The 13,115-nt window shown below is 58.8% G+C and overlaps 1 protein-coding gene across 4 annotated transcripts, besides 6 other annotated features; it reads left to right on the top strand.

Annotated features, from left to right (window-relative positions):
• Positions 1,252 to 11,308, top strand: TLE5 (TLE family member 5, transcriptional modulator). Of its 4 annotated transcripts, none has more exons than XM_006722664.2 (7): positions 1,252 to 1,518; positions 2,961 to 3,058; positions 6,476 to 6,539; positions 7,862 to 7,906; positions 8,492 to 8,554; positions 10,024 to 10,098; positions 10,181 to 11,308. In XM_006722664.2, the coding sequence occupies exons 1-7, from the start codon at positions 1,291 to 1,293 to the stop codon at positions 10,397 to 10,399; spliced, it is 792 nt and encodes a 263-aa protein (XP_006722727.1). In that variant the 5' UTR covers positions 1,252 to 1,290; the 3' UTR covers positions 10,400 to 11,308. The 4 variants fall into 4 exon arrangements, with proteins under 4 accessions (XP_006722727.1, NP_945320.1, NP_945321.1 ...); NM_198969.1 differs by having other exon boundaries at positions 10,178 to 11,308; NM_198970.2 differs by lacking the exon at positions 1,252 to 1,518 and adding an exon at positions 1,723 to 2,044.
• Positions 1,508 to 1,717: a silencer, noted in NCBI's record as "silent region_9823". NCBI's record gives its function as "represses an Ori minimal core promoter by ATAC-STARR-seq in GM12878 lymphoblastoid cells {active_cell/tissue: GM12878}" and the evidence as "EXISTENCE:reporter gene assay evidence [ECO:0000049][PMID:35858748]".
• Positions 2,640 to 2,909: a silencer, noted in NCBI's record as "silent region_9822". NCBI's record gives its function as "represses an Ori minimal core promoter by ATAC-STARR-seq in GM12878 lymphoblastoid cells {active_cell/tissue: GM12878}" and the evidence as "EXISTENCE:reporter gene assay evidence [ECO:0000049][PMID:35858748]".
• Positions 4,499 to 4,702: a silencer, noted in NCBI's record as "fragment chr19:3059514-3059717 (GRCh37/hg19 assembly coordinates)". NCBI's record gives its function as "represses an EF-1alpha promoter that drives an FKBP-Casp9 reporter gene in an ReSE screen in K562 erythroleukemia cells {active_cell/tissue: K562}" and the evidence as "EXISTENCE:reporter gene assay evidence [ECO:0000049][PMID:32094911]".
• Positions 5,656 to 6,220: an enhancer, noted in NCBI's record as "H3K27ac-H3K4me1 hESC enhancer chr19:3057996-3058560 (GRCh37/hg19 assembly coordinates)". NCBI's record gives its function as "activates a minimal SCP1, AML or CMV promoter by ChIP-STARR-seq in primed H9 embryonic stem cells {active_cell/tissue: H9 hESC(primed)}" and the evidence as "EXISTENCE:reporter gene assay evidence [ECO:0000049][PMID:30033119]".
• Positions 6,221 to 6,785: an enhancer, noted in NCBI's record as "H3K27ac-H3K4me1 hESC enhancer chr19:3057431-3057995 (GRCh37/hg19 assembly coordinates)". NCBI's record gives its function as "activates a minimal SCP1, AML or CMV promoter by ChIP-STARR-seq in primed H9 embryonic stem cells {active_cell/tissue: H9 hESC(primed)}" and the evidence as "EXISTENCE:reporter gene assay evidence [ECO:0000049][PMID:30033119]".
• Positions 9,045 to 9,610: an enhancer, noted in NCBI's record as "H3K4me1 hESC enhancer chr19:3054606-3055171 (GRCh37/hg19 assembly coordinates)". NCBI's record gives its function as "activates a minimal SCP1, AML or CMV promoter by ChIP-STARR-seq in primed H9 embryonic stem cells {active_cell/tissue: H9 hESC(primed)}" and the evidence as "EXISTENCE:reporter gene assay evidence [ECO:0000049][PMID:30033119]".

Raw genomic sequence — 13,115 nt, 5'->3', positions numbered from 1 at the left:
CAGGATTCCCACCTCACTCAGAGCAAAAGCCCAAGTCCAGGGCCAGGCGCAGTGGCTCACACCTGTAATCCCTGCACTCTGGGAGGTGGAGGCGGGAGGATCACCTGATGTCAGGATTTCAAGACCAGTCTGGCCAATATGGTGAAACCTGTCTCTACTAAATATACAAAAATTAGCCAGGCGTGGTGATGCGCACCTGTAATCCCAGCTACTCAGGAGGCAGAGGCAGGAGAATCACTTGAATCCGGGTGGCAGAGGCTGCAGTCAGCCAACATCACATCACTGCACTCCAGCCTGGGCAACAGAGTGAGACTCCATCTCAAAAACAAACAAACAGCTGATCACGGTGGCTCACGCCTGTAATCCCAGCACTTTGGGAGGCCGAGGCGGGCAGATCATCTGAGGTCGGGAGTTCAAGACCAGCCTGACCAACATGGAGAAACCCCGTCTCTACTAAAACTCCAAAATTAGCGGGGCGTGGTGGCACGTGCCTGTAATCCAGCTACTCGGGAGGCTGAGGCAGGAATCACTTGAACCCAGGATGCGGTGAGCTGAGATTGTGCCATTGTACTCCAGCCTGGGCAACAAGAGCGAAACTCCATCTCAAAAAACAAACCAACCAACCACCAGGTCCCGTCCCTCCTCCTCCCACAGCCTTCCAGGGCTCCTACCTCACTCAGAGCAAAATCCCAAGTCCTCCCCAAGACCCACAAGTCCTTGCTGGACTGGCCTGCTTCACCAGCTACAGAGTTAGCAGGGCCCAGTGCAAAAGAAAACTCAAAGGCCCCTTGTTCAAAAATGATTAGAAATCTCAAAATGCAGCAGTAAATATTAACCCAAGCACAAGCCCTGCTGTGGGGTGGGGGGGCCCTGGACAAAAGCACGAAGCCCCCGGCCCTGCCTCCCTCCGGCCTTCCTGACCTCCCCCCGGGCACTCTGCTGCCAGGCACAGTCCTGCCCCAGGGCCTTTGCACCTGTTGGTCCTGCCTCTGACTACCTCTGTACCCCATCCCCCTGTTCTCCCTCCTTCTTCAGGTCGCTTTAGGGGTGGAGGAAGCCGTCTCTGATCCTCCCTCCCACCTCTTTAACTTTGCACCTTCCTACCCTGCCATTCTCCCGGCTGGTTTTTCTGCAGAACTGTCCCCACCATCTGACCTGCCAGGAATTCAGCTTGTGAATTTGTCTCTGTCTGTCTCCAGGCACCACCACCAGGGCAGGGACCCACCCCCGCCCCGCCCCACCCCAGGGCCCTGGAGCAGCGGGGCCTGGCACACAGTAGGCGTTCTATAAATGTGTCACAAGAATGGCTTCCCTCAGGAAGGCGGCATTACCGCTGCCTTTCTGCAGAAAAGGAAACTAAGGCTCAGCAAGAACCACCGCCCAGCCAGAGCCAAGGTCACAGAGCACGTCCGTGGCACGCGTCCAGGTCGTGCCACAGCAGGGCCGGCGGCTTCGACGCGGGCAGCCGGGTCCCTTTTCTTTGACAGATGGGGAAACCGAGGCCCGGCCGGCTGCCGGGTAGGAGAGGGTGGCGGGGGCCGCTGCCCGGGGCGGGGGCGGGCCGGGCCCAAGGTCACCGCGGCGGGCGGGCCACGGGGAGGCGGGCCGGCGTGGGGATCCGCAGGCCTCCCCGGGCGCGCGCGTCCCCCCCCTCGGCGGCGCGCACGGGGCACGGGCGGCGGCAGGTGGAGCCGAAGCCTCCGCAGCAGCCGAGCCGCGGCCACTGCCGGCGTCGCCGCCATTAGACAATAGCGGTGGGGCCGGGGAGCGGGGAGGCGGGCGGCGGGGAGGGGCGGGGAGGGGCGCCGGGCGCGCAGGAAGCGGGGCCCGGGGCGCGCCGGGGCCGGGCGCGCGGGGAGGGGGCGCAGGAAGCGGGCGAGGCCGGGCGCGGGAGGCGGCGGCGGCCCCGGGAGCTGCCGATCGGCGCCGGGACAAAGGCGCGGCCGCCCGGCGCCCCCAGCAGCCCGAGCCGGGGCGCACAGCCGGGGCGCAGCCCGCGCCCCCCGCCGCGATTGACATGATGTTTCCACAAAGCAGGCATTCGGTAAGCGGGGCCCGTCCGGCCGGCGCCCCCACCCCGGATCCGGGCCCTACGCCCCCGACCCCCGGCTCCCGGCCCCGCGCCCCCCAACCCCCAGGCCCGGTGCCTCCGGCCCGGCGCCCCCCCCAACTCCCCGGCCCTGTCTTCCCTCTCCAGCTCCCAGCCCGGCGCGACCCCCCTCCCCTCCTGCCGCCGGCCCCCGGACACCCCCCCTCCAGTTCCCGATCCACCCCAGCTTCCGGGCCCCGAGCCCCCCCGCCGCAGCTCCCGGCTTGGCGCCCCCCCCCCCCAACCCGCCGGGACAGTCAGGGCCTCGGACGGCCTTGGCCTCGGGCCTGGGGCGCTCCGGAAGCCCCGCGAGGCACCTCTAGCCCGGGGATCCTTTGGGGGCCTGTGGTGGGGGGGGTGATCCGAGGCGCACCCCTCCCGGAAGAGCGTGTCCCCGAGGAAGGGCGCTGGGAATCTGGGGTTGGGCCCCCCCGGAAGATTTCGAGCACCGAGAGAGAGACCCCTCCCCCAAGAGGACTTTGCAGGGAGGAATCGCTGCCCCCCAACTTGGGGAGGGGGCTCCCTAGGGCGCGTTTCTACCCCCCTCGGATGTGCACTCCCTCCCGGCGCTTTGGAGGGCGGTAGAGGGCGCACCCTGCCCCCCATCTAGGGCGGGCCTTAAAACGCACCCCCACTGCCTGGGGGTGGCGGGGGACGGGGCGGCTCCGGGCGCACCCACCCGCTCGGCTTCCCCCGGGAGAGGCGGGGGGCAGGAAGCGCGGGTGGGGTCGCGCCAGGGGCCGTAAACACGGGCCCAGGAAGTGGGGCAGGAGGGGGGGCGCCGCAGCTGCGCGGCCGCTCCCTCCTAGCCGGCCCTTGAGGGGGGTCCAGCCCACGCCTGGGCCTGACCCGGGCCGCCCCATCCCTACAGGGCTCCTCGCACCTACCCCAGCAACTCAAATTCACCACCTCGGACTCCTGCGACCGCATCAAAGACGAATTTCAGCTACTGCAAGCTCAGTACCACAGGTGAGCTGGGGGACTGGGGGTCCCTGCGTCCCGAGAATGTGAGTCCCCCCATTTCTTCTGCGCAGATGGCAAGGCTGAGGCCTGGAGATTGGGAAAATAATATATGCTAGACTCTGACCTAATCACTTGACAAATACTGAATTCATTTATTTTAAACAGCCCCATTTTGTAGAGGAGAAAACCGAGGCACAAAAATAGTTAAATAATTTGCCCAAAGATTCAGCTGTGTGGCTTCAGAGCCCCTCCCTCCTCCCCAATACCCCCAAGTCCCCCATTGGATAAAAGACCTTCCAACAATTGGAGTTACGGCACGGACTCGCCATCCCTCAACCCCCAAAACAGAAACATTCTGCAGCCTGGTCATCTCTCTCTTTGCCCAGTTTTGGAGAAAGGGTTCCCAGCACCCGTCAGATTCTCCAAGGTGCTGCTTCTTTCAGAAATCTGGCGTTTCTGAAGAGCTTGCCACGCTGCGGTATCTAAGGGGAAGGAACTATTTAGTCCTCTTACACTTAAAGAAACTTAAGCCCAGGCCAGGCGTGGTGGCTCATGCCTGTAATCCCAGCACTTTGGGAGGCCGAGGAAGGTGGATCACTTGAGGTCAGGAGTTCGAGACCAGCCTGGCCAACATGGTGAAACCCCGTCTCTACCAAAAATACATAGTTAGCTGGGTGTGGTGGCGGGCGCCTGTAATCCCAGCTACTCGGGTGGCTGAGGCAGGAAACTTGCTTGAACCCGTGAGGCGGAGGTTGCAGTGAGCAGAGATGGAGCCACTGCTCTCCAGCCTGGGTAACAGGGAGACTCTGTCTCAAAAAAAAAAAAAAAAAAAAAAAAGAAAGAAAAAAAGAAACTTAAGCCCAGAGATGTTATGATGTTATTTCCTCGGGGGTGTCCATAGCATTGAGGAAGTGGCAAGGCTGAGGTTTGCACCAGGTCTCTCTCCTGGTTTAAGGATATAGGTTCTCGCCTGCCCTGCTCTGGAGGGGCACGCCGGGCCTGGGAATCTGGAGAAAGTCAGGCTATGCTCAAACCCCCGTTTGGCCTTGGGGCCCTCTCTAAACTGAAGCGTGCCCACCCCAGAAGTGTTCCTGGAAGGATCCTGGATTTCCTCCAAGTAGAAAGGGGAATCTCGATTTTGTTGTTGCTGCTGCAAATATCCCACCTTTTTGGGTACTCCCTGTGTGCTCAAGACCGTTCGTGCCTCCTCGTGCTTCATCCTTCCTGTCGTCCGACTGTCGTACCCATTCTCAAGCTGGGCAAACTGAGACACTGACAGTCGAAGGTGCTGGAGTCAGCTTTCCATGCAGGCCCCAGAAGCTTTTGTGCGGGTTCCTCGATATGAAGGGTTGGATACCGCCTGGTGAGCCCCGGGGCTGACCTGATTCCACAGGGAAGGGATCAGATGGCGGTCACAGTGCTGTGTGACCTCTGCTAAGCCGGAAGCCCTCTCTGAGCTTTGGGGTCTCCATCCGCTGGGCCTGGGCTTCCTGCTGTCCAACGAGGGACCCTACCATATCAGAGGCACACACCGGATGTTCGAGGCGTAACAGCCCCTGGGTGGCCAGACCATCCTATTTTTCAAGAAAGGCCAGAAATGCAGGCTTTGGAGTGAAACTTCTTTTTTATTTTATTTTATTTTTTTGAGACGGAGTCTTGCTCTGTCGCCAGGCTGGAGTGCAGTGGCGCGATCTCGGCTCACTGCAACCTCCACCTTTGGGATTCAAGCGATTCTTCTGTTTCAGCCTCCCAAGTAGCTGGGATTACAGGCGTGCACCACCACACCCGGCTAATTTTTGTATTTTCGGTAGAGACGGGCTTTCGTTATGTTGGCCAGGCTGGTCTCAAACTCCTGACCTCAAGTGATCCACCCGCCTTGGCCTCCCAAAATGCTGGGATTACAGGCGTGAGCCACTGCACCCAGCCCCGGTTTTTTTTTGTTTTTGTTTTTGTTTTTAATGGTAGCAACAAATGCACATTTTAAAAGAAAACTAGAGAAAAATTGGTGGCGGCCAAAGCATCCCTAACCCGGCACACTCTTCTCCGGTGGAGCAAAATGCCAGGTTCCTGGGGTATCCTAAGATCCATGTGCATTTATGGGATGCTTACTGTATGCCAGGTACTGTTCTAGAACTTTTCTTGTCTGAATTCATTGACTCTTCTCCACCCCACCCTGCGAGGTTGTTAGTGGTACCTCACAGAGGAGGAAATGAAGCCCAGAGAGGTAGTGGAGTTTGCCTAGAGTCACACAGCAGGGAAGACGAAGGGCTGAGCTTTGAACCCAGTCCGAGAGGGGGTGGGGATGGCAGAAGCAGGTAAGCCACAGCCAGGTCCGCAGGGCCCCTGTGCTGGGTTGGATTTAAGTAGGTTAAAGGACACCTCCCCCACCACCATCACCAGTTCTTTTCCTGGACTGGGAGGCCCTCCTGCCTGCTCTCTTCCCTCCGGCCATGACGCCCTCATGGGGGCTTTGAGAAACGCCCCACAGCTCATCCTTCCCGGGAGGGCCTGTAGGAAGCTCTGGTGTCAGCCACCCGGACTGGCCAGGTGGAGTGGGAGAAATGGTGTGTTTTGTCCCAGCTAAAGAAAAAAGGCTGTTAGGAAGGACTAAGAGGGAGCTGAGGGGTCTGCCTGGGAAGTCCAGGCCCCCCATGAAGCTAGGGTCCCCTTGGGAAGTCCAGCCGGGAGCCGCCTTGCAGCCCCAGACCCTCTCAGCCTCTTTGTACGTTCTATTTGGGTCTGGAAAATTTTCCCCTGTGGTTGAGAGCTTGGGCTGCTGCTTGGCTGTGTGACCTTGAGCCAGTTCCTCACCCTCTCTGGGTGTCCACTGTGTCATCTATAAAAGGAGCGTGACAATGACGTTGCGGGCCTCGTCGGGACCGTGAGAGGTGAAGGCTCGTGAGACTCTCAGAGCTAGCGTTACCGTGCCCCCTCTAACTTCTGTTGTTCCTATAATGTTACTATAATGTTGCTTATTTCCCCCCAACCAGATCTGCAAGGGTGGTTTCATCACCCCCTTCTTACAGTCAGGGGCCCTGATGCTCTCCCCTCCCCGCAGCATCACAGAGAGCTCAACTCTTACCAACTTCCCTGCCCCTCAATTCAATGTCCTCAGCCCCTATGAAAGTTTACGGCTTCATTGACCAGGCACGGTGGGTGGCTCATATCTGTAACCCCAAGCACTTTGGGAGGCCGAGGAAGGAGGATTGCTTGAGCCCAGGAGTTTTTGAGACCAGCCTGGGCAACATAGGGAGACCCCCGTCTCAATTTAAAAAAAAAATTATTGCTTGACCCTCTGAGAATTGGCTGATCTTGCCCTTACAGGGGACTTGGAGCCTCAGTTTCCTCCCCTGGATAACGGAGGGTGGGGGGCTCCCGCCCAGCCGCCACTAACCACCCCATCTCCCCCCTGTGCCTCCTCAGCCTCAAGCTCGAATGTGACAAGTTGGCCAGTGAGAAGTCAGAGATGCAGCGTCACTATGTGATGGTAACGTCACTCCGCCCCCAGGTCCAGTGTTGGGGGCGGGCGACAGGGCCCTCCACATCCCCTCCACCACGGGCAGCTGCTCCCTCAACCCCGGCCACCTCCCCTGGGAAGCGCGAGGATCGGGGCCTGTTCTCCATTCAGCCGGCCCCTGCTGGGCTGAGCCTGCCTCGCTAGCCTGGCAGATGGCCGAGGCAGTGGCCGAGGTGCCAAACCGCCGGGTTGCAGACCGGCCCTGCCAGGTCCCCCGGCTGTCCTTGGCAGCGGAGGAGGGAGGAGAGGGAGGCTCACCGGCTGTGAAAGCCAACAGCCAGGAACTGACGTGGGGGAGCAGCCGAGTCCCTCCCCACCGCCAAGGTCCCAGCGTCCACACGCTTAACCCCTTTGGGCCCGAGCTCAAAGAAGAAGCCTGTGGGAGGGGGTCTGAGCCCTACCCATTTCGGGGGGCTGATGTGTGACACTGCATTGCTGCTGCCAGAACCACTTGCTCGGTTTTGTAACTGCCAGGTGACGATTTCTGCATCAAAAATCCCCTCCCTTACCCACCCTTGGCCTGGCCCTCGAGCAGCGATGCTGGGGTCTCAGCCCAGTACCCAAATCTCCCAGACTGTGGGGGAGGCAGAGCCAGACCCTGACCCTCCCAGCCAGAAGAATAGGGCTGGGGTCAGAGAGAGGGACCTAGGACCTGCCTGAGGAAGACTATATGGAGAAATGGGGCACACAGCTGGGGTCTTGCAGGATGAGTAGGAGTTCACCAGACAGAGACAGAGAAACTACGTGAAGGCCTGGGAATGAACTTGGTTTTCCCCCAGGGGTGACAGGGAGCCATGGGAGGGTTTAGAGCAGGGGAGGGGCAGGGTGAGATCTGGGGCTTGGGGTGGGGGTAGCTGCTGGCCCCAGAGCCAGCAGGCTTTGTTTACCCCTCACTGTTTATACCTAGGCAGGCAAACTTCCCTGGCGTCTGGGCCCACCCGCAGACAAGACATAGAAAGATACAAGATTAGGAGCCCTGGAATGCGTGTTCTCGCGGTGCACATGGAGTGGGGGAGGAGCCAGGCCAGGGCTAGGGACCTAAAGTGCCCCCAGTCTCCATCCGCAGCCCCAGCGGCCCCCTGCCCCTCTCCAGGGCGGGCTGGGATGCTGGGTGTGGGCGTCTCTCCCTCCTCTTTCCCTCCCACCTGCCTCTCCTTTCTTTCCTGCCCTCAGCTGTCTCTTGCTGTCTCCCCCCTTTGTCTGTCTCTGCCACTCCCCTATCTCTTTGTCTCCGTGTCCCCCCATCCTTCCCCACCCCCATCTCCCGCTCCCCCTCTCTCTCCCCCATACAGTACTACGAGATGTCCTACGGCTTGAACATCGAGATGCACAAACAGGTACGCCCATCTCCTCCTCCTCCTCCTCCTCCTCCTCCTTCCCCCTCCTCCCCCCACCTCCAGCCCCGCCTTGGGCACCCCCAGGCAGGTAGCGGCCGGCCCTCGGCTGGGCACCAAGCCAGCCCGGTTATCCTGTTACCTCCTAAGCCCTCCCCAAGCTCCCGCTCTCCTCCCCCCCGCCCCGCCTCTTTTTCAGGCCTCCCTGGGAGTGTTTCTCCCGGTGGTGGGGAGGGGCAGAGACCTTCCCCACAGCCTACGGCCCCCAGCCCTCCCTACATTCGCACAAGCGCTTACTACCTGCCAGGGGCCTGAGTGGCCGACCCCCGAGGAATGTGCAGTCTGGCCTCATCCTGCACTTACCTCACTCTAAGCTGCAGGCGACAGCCGGTGTCCAGCCCCACCTTTGCCACTGACTGGCTGCCCTCGGGCCCGAACACGGCTTTGCTCATCCCACCCTGGCCAGACCTAGCCCCTCTTAGAAGCCGCAAGTGGCAGGGCTGGGCCGGGCCCCGCGCAGGCCTCCTGTGGCTAGCCTGCACCTGCCACCCGCCCAGGACTGAAGCCGGCTTCATCTGTGTGTTCCAGGCTGAGATCGTCAAAAGGCTGAACGGGATTTGTGCCCAGGTCCTGCCCTACCTCTCCCAAGAGGTAAGAGCCAGGGCCTTGGGGAGGGGTTGTGAGGGGGCCCCGCACTTGCCCAGCCCCTGTCCACTGCAGCCATCTTGGGTGGTGTGCTGGGCGCCCCAGGGCACACGCCTCCCCTCTCTGGACCTCCCTGGCTCTGAACACCAGAGCCGGCCTGTGCAGAAGAATCCCCGGGCCAGAGACACTCCAGGGGTGCAGGCGTGTGGGGGGCGGGCCTCACCCTGCTCTGGAATTCCCAGCTGGAGTGAGTCATGTCATAGGTAGAAATGTCAGATGGGCCTAAACTGCACCAGGAATGTTTTTTTCTCATCTCTCTTCCTCCTTTCACCCTCTTGAGACATCCTCCTCCAGGCCATGCGGGCTGCACAGGACCAAGGACTAGAGGGTGTTAGGGGATTGTGGGGGAAGGGGTAGCACAGGGTGGTCACACATGGACACAGCCACACAGATAGGCACGAGCACATCAACACACGGGAGATACACAGATGCAGACACGGATACACGTGTGTGCAGACAGCACAGGGACACGCATGCAGGAATGTGCAGCTACACGTGGGCACACGTGATCCTGAGCACACATTACCACATGCACACACACACCCAGATGAACCTGACGCCCAGCTCCTCTTCTCCTTTCTTGGGTTCTGAGGCTCAGGATGCGAGGCCGCCCCTCCCCAGGGCCATGTAAGGCCCATCTCCTGTCCCTGCCAAGTTTACTGTCAAAAGTTTGTAACTTCCTCTTCAATCCCTGTGGGTATCTCAGGATCCTTTGGGTGCCCTGCTTTGCCCAGGGACAAGTCTTAGCAGGACCCAATGAAAGCCCTAGAGAAAAGGGCACTTGGAGCCCTTCAGAACAGAGGCTTCCTGGTAGCCAAGGCAAAAAGGGAGATTGGTAGATTCTAGCATCTGCTGGCCACAGAGTCAGGTGTTTGGGGAGAGCTCAGGGAGGAACTGCCCTGAATCTGAGCCCATTCCCCAGCCAGCCCTGCCAGAATTCATTGGGCCCTCCCCAGCCATGGTAGGAGAAGGGCTCAATTTGGCCAGACTCAGGGCACAGTCTTGGAGCTCCTAGGATCAGGACGTCCCTGTACAGTTGGGCAGGTTGTGTACTGCACAAACATTCACATGTTTCACATCTTTGCAGGTGGCTGTGCACATAGGATAGGTCAGGATCCAGGGTTTCTCCCGGGCTCACTCAAAAGCTGTTTCCTAACTACTTAGCACAAAACCCTTTTAATTGTTTTCTGCACTTTTCCATTTGTCTCTGTTGGCCAGACGAAGAGACGAGCTTGGTGAAAGGAAGCAGTTGGAGAGAGGGAGGGTGCTTTCTGATGGGGTTGAAAACCACTGGGAGGAGCAGACATGATGGCCCACTTGGTAGTGGGGCTCCTCCTGGCCTCAGGGCCGTCCCCCTCTCCTCTCCCAGGATCAGGAGGAATCACTGCCTCTCCTCTCCCCCGACCCCCTTCCAGCACCAGCAGCAGGTCTTGGGAGCCATTGAGAGGGCCAAGCAGGTCACCGCTCCCGAGCTGAACTCTATCATCCGAGTATGTATGGGGACCTGGGCGGGTGGGCGGGGGACAGGTGGGCCCCAGGCAGCTAATGTTCCCCTCCCCCGCCCTGCAGCAGCAGCTCCAAGCCCACCAGCTGTCCCAGCTGCAGGCCCTGGCCCTGCCCTTGACCCCACTACCCGTGGGGCTGCAGCCGCCTTCGCTGCCGGCGGTCAGCGCAGGCACCGGCCTCCTCTCGCTGTCCGCGCTGGGTTCCCAGGCCCACCTCTCCAAGGAAGACAAGAACGGGCACGATGGTGACACCCACCAGGAGGATGATGGCGAGAAGTCGGATTAGCAGGGGGCCGGGACAGGGAGGTTGGGAGGGGGGACAGAGGGGAGACAGAGGCACGGAGAGAAAGGAATGTTTAGCACAAGACACAGCGGAGCTCGGGATTGGCTAAACTCCCATAGTATTTATGGTGGCCGCCGGCGGGGGCCCCAGCCCAGCTTGCAGGCCACCTCTAGCTTTCTTCCTACCCCATTCCCGGCTTCCCTCCTCCTCCCCTGCAGCCTGGTTAGGTGGATACCTGCCCTGACATGTGAGGCAAGCTAAGGCCTGGAGGGTCAGATGGGAGACCAGGTCCCAAGGGAGCAAGACCTCGCGAAGCGCAGCAGCCCCGGCCCTTCCCCCGTTTTGAACATGTGTAACCGACAGTCTGCCTGGGCCACAGCCCTCTCACCCTGGTACTGCATGCACGCAATGCTAGCTGCCCCTTTCCCGTCCTGGGCACCCCGAGTCTCCCCCGACCCCGGGTCCCAGGTATGCTCCCACCTCCACCTGCCCCACTCACCACCTCTGCTAGTTCCAGACACCTCCACGCCCACCTGGTCCTCTCCCATCGCCCACAAAAGGGGGGGCACGAGGGACGAGCTTAGCTGAGCTGGGAGGAGCAGGGTGAGGGTGGGCGACCCAGGATTCCCCCTCCCCTTCCCAAATAAAGATGAGGGTACTAAAGTTGTCTTGGTTTTTATTTTATTATTATTTTTTTCTTTTTCCAGTATACTAGCTTGTCTTTTAAGAAAGGGGATATTAAAAAAAAAAAAAGACAAAAGTGTTTTTAAAAAAAAGCAACACCCACACCTGTGTCTGTATATAGTCAGCTTATCTCGTGTTCAATCGTCTGATCTCTACAGAGAGAAGTGGAAAATGCTGTATCAAGGGTGGGCTTAGCTGTGCCTTTCCAATAAAGATGTGAGAAGCTTCGGTGCTGTGTCCCTGCCTCTGTGTTGTGGCTGCCCCCGGGGGAGGACGGGGTTCCTTCCAATGTGAGACATCCTCCTAGAACATCAGGAGTTCCTAGCTGTGGCCCGGTGCGGTGTGGCTCACGCCTGTCATCCCAACACTTTGGGAGGCTGAGGCAGGCAGATCACTTGAGGCCAGGAGTTCGAGACCAGCCTGGCCAACATGGTGAAACCCTGTCTGTACTAAAAATACAAAAAAGCTGGGCGTGGTGGTGGGCAACTGTGATCCCAGCTACTTAAGAGGCTGAGGCAGAAGAATCACTTGAATTCAAGGAGGTTGCGGTGAGCTGAGATCGCACCACTGCACTCCAGCCTGGGCAACAAGAGCAAAACTCCATCTCAAAAAAAAAAAAAATACAAAAAGTAGCCGGGCATGGTGGCGTGCACCTGTAATTCCAGCTGCTTAGGAGGCTGGGACACAAGAATTGCTTGAACCCGGGAGGCAGAGGTTGCAGTGAGCTGAGATGATGCCTCTGCACTTCAGCCTGGGCGACAGAACAAGACGCTGTCTCAAAAAAAAAGAGTTGGTGGGTCACGCTTCTGCATTTGGCCTACACTGCTCTGATGCCTAGCCCAGAGAGGGTGAGCTGAAGACTTCAGGTCACACAGCATGGCCCAGGTGGTTGATGTTTAGACAGGCAGTTAAGGGGGCTTAAAAAGGCGAAGGGATCCCTAAGCTAGTAAGTGGGGAGGCTGAGGTGGGAGGATTGCCTGAGGCCGGGAGTGCAAGGACAACCTGAGCAACATAGCAAGACCCCATCTCCTAAAAAAAAATTTTTTTTTAATAATAAAATAAGTGAGTCAGTGGCAGAGCTGATTTCTGCACCCGAGATCTGAAGACCTAAAGGACATTCTCTTCCCTTAGAGAAAGAGGAGGCCCCAGTGCCCACACAGGTACACTTCTTTTCGGTTCTGGGTGGGTTTTTTTTGTTTGTTTGTTTGTTTTTTTGAGACAGGGTCTCACTCTGTTGCCCAGGCTAGAGTGCAGTGGTGTGATCACAGCTCACTGCAGCCTCAACTTCCCTGAGCTAAAGTGATCCTCCCACCTCAGCCTCAGCCTCCTGAGCTGGGACAGTGGGCATGCACCACCATACTCGCCTAATCTTTTGTATATATATATATATATATATATATATATATATATATATATATATATATATATATATATAATTTTTTTTTTTTTTTTTTTTGTAGAAATGAGGTTTCACCATGTTACCCAGGTCTCAAACTCCTGGGCTCAAGCAGTCCTCCCGCCTCAGCCTCCCAAAGTGCTGGGATTACAGGCGTGAGCCCCCGTGCCTGGCCAGTATACTCAGAGAGAACACTGACTCGCCCCAGCTGAGCCTCCATCCTCTAAGGAACAGCCAGAAGCCCCCCAACCCCCACCGCCTCACCCAAGCTGCACCAGCCGTGGGGAAGCCAGAAGGAAAGGGGATTGCCCCCAGTTTTCCCATCTTGGCCTCAGCCCCTGGCTCCTCTGGGACTTGGGCCAAGGGAACATGTTGCTGCCCACCCAGCAAATGGGAGATGGCCATTTCTACTCTGGAGGGACTTCACGGCAGGAGGAAGTCCGAGCTGAGGGGAGCTGACAAGGGTGGAGATGGACAGCCGACATTGGGGAAAATGTCTCATGTCCCTGAGGAGAGGGCTGGGAGTGGAGGGGACAGGGCTGGCTGATCACACCAGCCTCCTGGCAGGTCCCACCCCATCTCCACTGCAGCCAAAGTGCCTCTAAAAATGCCAGTTGCAAGGGATCATCCCCTGCTGAC

This window comes from Homo sapiens, chromosome 19, assembly GCF_000001405.40.
Source record: "Homo sapiens chromosome 19, GRCh38.p14 Primary Assembly".
Lineage (NCBI taxonomy): Eukaryota > Metazoa > Chordata > Mammalia > Primates > Hominidae > Homo > Homo sapiens.
This window is presented reverse-complemented; position numbering and strand designations above follow the sequence as displayed.